Source organism: Homo sapiens, chromosome 9 (assembly GCF_000001405.40).
Source record: "Homo sapiens chromosome 9, GRCh38.p14 Primary Assembly".
NCBI lineage: Eukaryota > Metazoa > Chordata > Mammalia > Primates > Hominidae > Homo > Homo sapiens.
In genome coordinates this window covers 134,233,733-134,241,723 of record NC_000009.12, presented here as the reverse complement: position 1 = coordinate 134,241,723, position 7,991 = coordinate 134,233,733, and positions in this window count along the sequence as shown.

Sequence of the window (7,991 nt, the reverse complement as noted above, 5' to 3'; positions counted from 1 at the left end):
TCTCCTCCCCTTGGGCTCCTCCTGGCTGTGACGGTTTCCCAGACTTTCCTCGTCTTGGTTTTTATTTTTTTTGAGACAGAGTCTCGCTCTGTCACCCAGGATGGAGTGCAGTGGCACAATCTCGGCTCACTGCAAGCTCCGCCTCCCGGGTTAACGCCATTCTCCTGCCTCAGCCTCCTGAGTAGCTGGGACTACAGGCACCCGCCACCACGCCCAGCTAATTTTTTGTATTTTTAGTAGAGACAGGGTTTCATTGTGTTAGCCAGGATGGTCTCCATCTCCTGACCTCGTGATCCGCCCACCTCAGCCTCCTAAAGTGCTGTGGATTACAGGCATGAGCCACAGCGCCCTGCCTCTTTTTTTTTTTTTTCTGAGCTGAAGTCTTGCTCTGTCACTCAGGCCAGAGTGAAGTAGCATGATCTCGGCTCCCTGCAACCTCTGCCTCCTGTGTTCAAGCAATTCTCATGCCTCAGCCCCTAAGTGTCTGGGACTACAGGCCCATGCCACCCACCACGCCCAGGTAATTTTTTTTTTTTTTTGTATTTTTAGTAGAGACAAGGTTTCACTGTGTTGGCCAAGCTGGTCTCAAACTCCTGACCTCAGGTGATCGCCTTGGCCTCCCGATTTCCTTGTCTTCAATGCTGGGCAGTTTTGAGCAGCGCTGCTCAGGTGTTTGTAGGGCATTCCTGGGCGAGATCCGTCTGCTGCATGCCTCACAGTTGGGCTGGGTGATGGGTGGTTAAGTTTGGGAGGAAGAGCATGGGGGCAACGCACCCTCTCCCCACACACATCAGGGACACACCATCAGCGGGGCACGCCACGGTTGGTGCTGGCCTTGAGTGAAGGGCTGAGGTGCACCCGTCTCTCCATGGTAAAGCCACTTCCTCCTTCCCACCCTGTCTCCTCGGGAAGCCTGGACCCCCTGTTGCGGAGCCCCTTCTGGACCAGTGCGCCTGGGAAATGCTGAGCCAGTTCCAGCCTAGCACACAGTAGGTGCCTAATTGAGCCTCCCCGAACTGGATGGAGCATGGGAAATCAACCCACGGCTGTGGCCTCATTAGGAAGGAAGTTTTCCCTCCACTCAACTCCCTCTTGGCTTGTGGTCTAATTAAGCTCTGCTGCTCCCTCGGGCCTGGGCCGGTTTGCACGGCTCACTCCCGACTTGAGGGGTTCCCGCCAGGCCCTGCTGGCTCCAGCTTCTGCCCACCCAGAAGGAGTGTGCCGGGGAGCTGAGGCCCCCACAAGGGCTCCCAGCCAGAAAGGCATCTGGATCCCCCACCAGCGCCCTTTCTAACCACCACATAAGCATCAAAAGCACACGGCACAGACAAGCCCACAAACAGAAGAGCAGAGGGTCCGGCTCTCCCCGCCTCCTCCCCCGGCCACACCCGGCATTTCTAGGAGACTTTTCCCCAAGGCTCTGAGCCCTTCAGGAGCACAGATGGGCCCCTGTGCTCCTCAGACTCTGGAAGGGAGTTGCTTGAGCCTGGTACACCTGGAGGCCCAGGAGGAAGGCCATGGGTGCAAGGGGCAATGCCTGGGCCACCAGTCTCCGGGGGAGACAGGGAAATCAATGCCGAGGGTGAGGAGGTCTCTCCCAGGTGGGAAGGCAGGGGAACCGTGGCTGCCCCAGGAGGAGTAACAGCCTGCCCCAGGCAGGGCCCTGACCTCCACACACTGGCTCCCCCTCACCCCACAGAGAGGATTTCTCTCAGTTTTACAGGGAAGAAATGGAGGCGAGGGAGCGAGGACACTTCCCCAGGCTGTACGGCCAGGAAGGGGTGAGTGGGCTGCCCACTCCAGAGGCCCGGCACCCTGGACCCCTTCCCACGGCTCTGCCTCGGGCTGCCTCGGAAGCAGGAAGGCCCCCCAGGACTTTGACTAACCTACCTGAGCCTGGCATGTGAGCCCTTGCGGGACGGACAAGCCCACCTGGAGCCTCGAGCCGCAGCCAACCGCGCCAAACTCGCTCTACGGAGGAGCCTCTGGCGCTCCGGGATGGGACATGGCCTGGCTCCGGCCAGCTGGGCAGAGTGGAGACGCTCACCCAAAGCACACGCTCCTCAGGGAATGGAGCAGCAGTGGGAACACAGGCGGGATGGAGACCGAACATGCCCCTCCCTGGGATCCTGGAGCAGGTCGGAGGGAGCAGGGGCTGGACGTGCCCCGTCGCAAGGCCGGCAGGGAGGAGGTGAGGGCCCAGCCCAGGCTCTCCCCTCCAGTGCCACCGCACCCCTGCTCTTCCAGGCCAAGAGGGGCTCCCACTGGGGGCAGGGTGTGGGGGGTCTTCCTTAACTCTACTCTTATTTCACAAGCCCCAGGGGCTCTTTCAGGCCACGGGGTACATTTGTTTGCACGGCAGCAGCCAGCCTCACCCAGGTGCGGCAAGGAGAGGCAGGGCAGGGGTGAAGGAGGGGCCCAGTCAGCAGGAGGGGACAGCAGGTGGTCCCCACAAATACCCCAGCAATGCCACTCCCGTGTTACTCTCCCGAGGCTCCCTATCACCCTGGGAGAGAGTCTAGATTATTTTTTATTTATTTATTTTTTTAGAGCAGGATCTAGCTTCATCACCCAGGCTGGAATGTAGTGGCACAAACACAGCTCACTGCAGCCTCCAACTCCTGGGCTCAAGTGATTCTCCTGCCTTGGCCTCCCAAAGCATTGGGACTATAGGTGTGAGCCACTGTGCCCAGCTAATTTTTTTATTTCTTGTAGAGATGGGGGTCTGGCTCTGTTGCCCAGGTTGGTCTGGAATTCCTGGGCTCAAGTAATCCTCCCTCACCCAGCCAAGAGACCAGATTCTTAGCCGGGCATGGTGGCTCATGCCTGTAATCCCAGCACTTTGGGAGGCCAGGGCGGGTGGATCACCTGAGGTCAGGAGTTCAAGACCAGCCTGGCCAACATGGCAAAACCCTGTCTATACTAAAGATACAAAAATTATCAGGGCATGGTAGCACGTGCCTGTGGTCCCAGCTACTCCAGAGGCTGAGGCAGGAGAATTGCTTGAACCCAGGAGGTGGAGGTTGCAGTGAACCAAGATCATGTCACTGTACTCCAGCCTGGGTGACAGAGCTAGACTCTGTCTCAAAAAAAAAAGAGACCAGATTCTTCAATGTGGCCCAGGACTCGCCAGCTGGCCCATTCCCCTTGCCCTGTCCCCATCTCCCCACTGCCTTCTGCCAGGGTGGGCCTGGGAGGCTGGGCAGTCCTGATTCCTGCCTGGGTCACCCCAAACTCTCTACCACTTTGATGACAATGCCTACTGCAATCTTTTTGAAAATTAGCTCCTTCCAGAACAGGGACTGTGGCTTGTTTCTGTCTGTTTCACTGTTCCCTGGCTCAAGGCCGGCTCCAGTGGGCACTTACTAAATGGTGACTTCACTTAACTGGTGCCTGCTGGACCTGCCCCGTGCTGGGCTAAAAGACAGGAATCAGGAGCCAGGAAGTGGAGTCCTCCCCTTGGCCTCTGCTTCCCAGCCTGAGAGATAGGCCCATCAGACACGCTCACCATTGTGGCTAAGAAGAAGTGCCCCATCTCCTTCCAAACCCCATCTCACTTGGTCCCCACCTCAGCCCCAGGGTGCAGCTCGAGCTGTTACCCCAAAGGGAAACTGAGGCTGGGAGGTGACCCCCATTAGTCTGTTGTCGAGGTTTGTCTGGCTCAGCTCCAGGCTCGTGGCGACCACTGGGGTGAGGAAATGGTCCCTTCAGGACGCAGGGGGGACCAGGGACCAGGAACCAGGAGCCTCCAGGAATGCCCAGAACCGCAGGCCTCCTTGTCCTTGAGACGATTTCACACGTGGTCTCTGGGGCTCTGGCTTTGACCTGAGGGTGGTCAGTAGCACAAGCCTTGTCCAAGGGGGGCCTGACGGGCAACCCCCGCGTGCCCACCCCAGGAGTGGCCAAGTTGTTCAGTGCAGGGGCCCCCTGGGACAGAATGGCAGAGGGGGCAGATGTCAGGGAGAAGGCAGGTGCCCGACCTGATTGAGTGGGGCTCCTCCAGCGGCGGTGCTCCCATCAGACCCCACGGTCAGCCCTCGCCACCCCCACCATGGAGCAGGGCTATTCCTCCAGGGTCCAAGTCACACTCCAGTCCCTTTCTCCCTCCTGGGGCCCTTAAATTCCAGACAGGGTTCCACTGGCCGCTGTCAGTCAGGGAACCTGGACTGGACGGGGTCAGAGGGGTTGAAACCAGGAAGGGCCCAAGGCAGCCACTCACGGAGGCCACGCCCACCCCACCACGGCAGCAGGGGACCCCAGGCAGGCCCCTTAGCCCTCTCAGGAAGGAGGCAGCAGCCAGTCCAATCAACAGGGGTCTCCTCCCTGTGAGCCCCACTCAGGGGACCCCGGCTCTCTGAAAGATTACCCAACACACAGACACATGCATGGTTGGCTGCTACCCACTTATTCTACAGCATCAGAGACCGGAGTGCCAGCGCTGGGCAGCTGCTGTGTGGATGCCAGCCCTCAAGGCCCATGGCAGAATGGACACCACCCCTGCCACTCACTAGCCCTGATGCTGTGGGCAGAGGTGTCTGGGCCTCTGGGGCACGGGGGTCTTGACGATGCCCACTGCCCCCTACAGAGCAGCCCCTGGTGCCTGGCACCTGGTGCTCCGCCCTTGCCCTGCAGGGTTGGGGAGGCAAGAGGGGCCTGGACTCAGCTCCTCCTCCCTGGAAACCCTTCCAGGGGACTCACTCATAGAGGGAACGGCCTCCCTCCCACCATGGTGACGCCCTCCTGCTCCCCACACAGGGTGGTCCCAGCTCCCTCCCTCCAGGAGCACCCCCACTCCTTTTCCTGAGCAGAACTCTTCAGAAACAGGAGTGTGTTTGTGGTGGAGCCAATCCCTGTGCCTGTGTGTGAGTCACTGTGCCTCGGTTTCCCCATCTGAGTCACTATGCCTCAGTTTCCCCATCTCAGTCACTGTGCCTCAGTTTCCTCATCTGAGTCACTGTGCCTCGGTTTCCCCATCTGTGACATGCAGATAAGATTTGTTTTCCCTTCCCTACTCCACTCTCTGTGGATGCCCACAGGGTCCCACCCTCACCGGGCACAGCCCAGGCCACCGGGCCAGAGCGGTGGACAGGAGACCCAGGCCCAGGCCAACAAAGACAGATGCGTGGCAGGCAGCAAAGTCTCCCGGGGGATGGTCTGGGTGTGGGCCAAGGAGGGGTCAAAGGAGGCCATTCAGCAAGCACCACCAGGTGCATTCAATGACCCCCTCCTCCAGCTGAGGCCCCAGAGTGGCAGCACAAAGCCTGGGCTCCTGGTCCCCACCCTGCCCCCAACCTGCCCCCAACCTGCCCTCCACTGGGACGCTGGGGTACAGAGAGGCCTTGCATCCCATCCGGAGGCTGCTTGAACCCAGAGGTCAGCTTCAAGGCAGATGGCCAAAGGCTGGTCACTTAGTTTTCTTCCAGCAAAATTCACAGCTTCCTGTTTCTCAGATAAAAGGCCCGGGAGACCCATCAGGACTGGGCAGAGCCCATGCAGAAGAAGGAGTTCTGTGCGAACAAATCAGAAACGGGCAAGGACACACCCCGGCAGTCTCTACTGGTTAGGAACATTCATGGGAAGTATGTTTCTAGTTCCCCCACAAAGCTCCCCAGGGCCCCAGCATGTCCTGGGGATGCCACAGCTCCTGGGCAGAGCCTGCAGGGAGTGGGCAGCTGAGTTGGCCCAAGCACCAATGCATGAATCATCCTAGAGGCATCCCAGGAGCCCACAGCCAGGAGCCAAAATCGGGGGGCTGCAGCTGGGACCCCTCTCCCGTGAACTGCCCCTGCCAGGCCTTTTTGGCCTCACTTTATCTGCCTGTCCAGTGGGCACAACCACCTTGCTGGGACAGGCGTGTCTGCCCCACCAGCAGGTCCATCCTAACAGCCTCTGACTCCTGTCAACTCACCACAAACGGGTTTCCTCCACCTCAGTGACTCTGTGATTTGGAAACCAAATAAATGTGAAACCGTCTCTGTTGGCATTGCACAGAGCGCTGCCCCCCACCCCCTCTGGGCACCCCACCCTCACACCTCCTCCTGCCCCCGCCTAGCAGTACCAAGGCCGGCTGGAAATCATATTGCTCCCCGGCCCAGGCCCAGACGGCCACGTCGCTTTCAAGCCAGGCCCACTGGTCCAGGGCCAGGCGCAGACTCGGCCGGTCCAGAGCACCAGGCAGGGTCGGGATAGAGGAGGGGCGGTGGGGAGGGGTGAGGCTTCACTGGGTGGGGGTTGCAGGGAGAACAGGGCTGCAGTTCCAGGGCATTGTGTAGCCAGGAAAAGAGAGGCAGGGAAGCCCCAGGCATGACCGTGTGGATTTTCCACAGCGCCCCATCTTTTGGGGCTCAAGGGCGTCCCAGACCCTCAAGGGCACAGTGGAGGCAGCAGGGCAGCAGGACAAGAGGCAGCAACGAGGAAAAGTACAGCCCAGGAGCAGGAGCCCTGGCTCCCAGGGCACTGCCATGGAAACGGAAATAGACATTCACGGGGGGTGGGGGGGTGAAGTCCTCTGAGATGGGCCACGCGTGACCCCAGACACTGGGAAGGTGGGTGCCCGCCCTGGCCATCCATGGCAGTGCCAGCCACAAGAGACTGGCACCGAGGGCCCGGCAGCCTGACAGCCCCTGCCTGGCCCAGGACACCCTGGGCTAAGGCTTGGTTCCTCGGGGGCTCTCAGCTCACAGTGGGGGGAGTCAAAGCACAGTCCCACAGCGCCTCTGGGACTCCATAGCCGCTACTGGCAGGGGGAGGGCCTGCCCCTGTGTCAGGGAGGGACCCCAGGAGGCTTCCAGAGGGAGGCAACATCAGAGCTGCACTTGGAGAAGGCGGGCGTGCTGGACAGGAAGGGGAGGAGGGGCACCAGAGGACAGGGGTGTGTATGCCAAGGTGCAGAGGGGTGGGCGGCAGGGCCAAGGGTATGGCGGGAAGAGGGACGACGTGGGGTCTCCCGGGGACTCATTCTCTGGATGGCCATGCAGAGGCATGGGAGGCAACGCCGTCCTAAGCAGCGTGATCAGATTTGTGTTCTAGAAAGATCCTTCTGGCTGCCGTGTAGGGAAGGGCAGGAGGAGAGGAAGCCGGAGGCGAGAGGGTGCCAGGAGTTGACCTGTCATCCAAGGAGAGCCGAGGAGGACAGGGAGGTGACTCCAGGCCTAAGGAAGAGTCGATGCTTCCTCCTAATGCATCCTCCACAGCTGGGCCAGAGGGGATGGAGCAAGCCCCTCTCCAGTAGCCTGCAGCAGCCCGGGCTCTGGAAGCGCGCCCACTCCACTCCTTGAGAAGTGTGTGGCGGAGGTGAGGGCTCCTGCTTTTCTGATTTGCTCCAGGCCCCAAAGGAATCTATGAGCTTGCTCCGGACCTCAGCATCCCAGCCAGGGCCACCTGCCAGCGTCTGACAGTCACCTGCAAGCCACTGGGCAGACCTCCGTTCCGTTTCCAGCGGGGAAGCCCAGGCGCGGGGCCAGTCACCTGTCCAGGCCTGCACAGGCACTGACTCAAAGCTATGGGCTCAGCCGTGTTGAGCTCTGCTGCATCCCATGGCCACCCGCCCCTGGAGGCTGCAGCCCAGGGAAAGGGGACCCCGGCCTGTGCGCACCACCGAGGGCTCCGTTCCCAACAGGCTGTGCTGATGTTGTGCCTTTGGCCCCCTGCAGGTGTTCTGCCTGAAGCATCCACCCTGAGGTCCACACAGTTGGGCTCTGGAGGAGGGCAGGGCAGCCCCTGCTCTCAGGACAGGTGGGGAGCCCGGCCACACTCTCCAGGAGGAGGCAGGAGGGCTGAGGCCTGTGTGTTGGCGGCTGGTTGTGAATGGACAGGGAAGACCCAATTCCTGGGCACAGTGGAGGTCCCAGAGGCCTTACAGGGCCACAGGTCAGGCCAGCCTGGCTGCAGCTGGGGAGCTGGAAGCTTGGCCCAGCCCAGACCCTGGCTCATATCTGAGGGCAGAGAGAGGGACTTGGGGTGTTCTGGAGCCACCCTCACCTGCTTGGGTC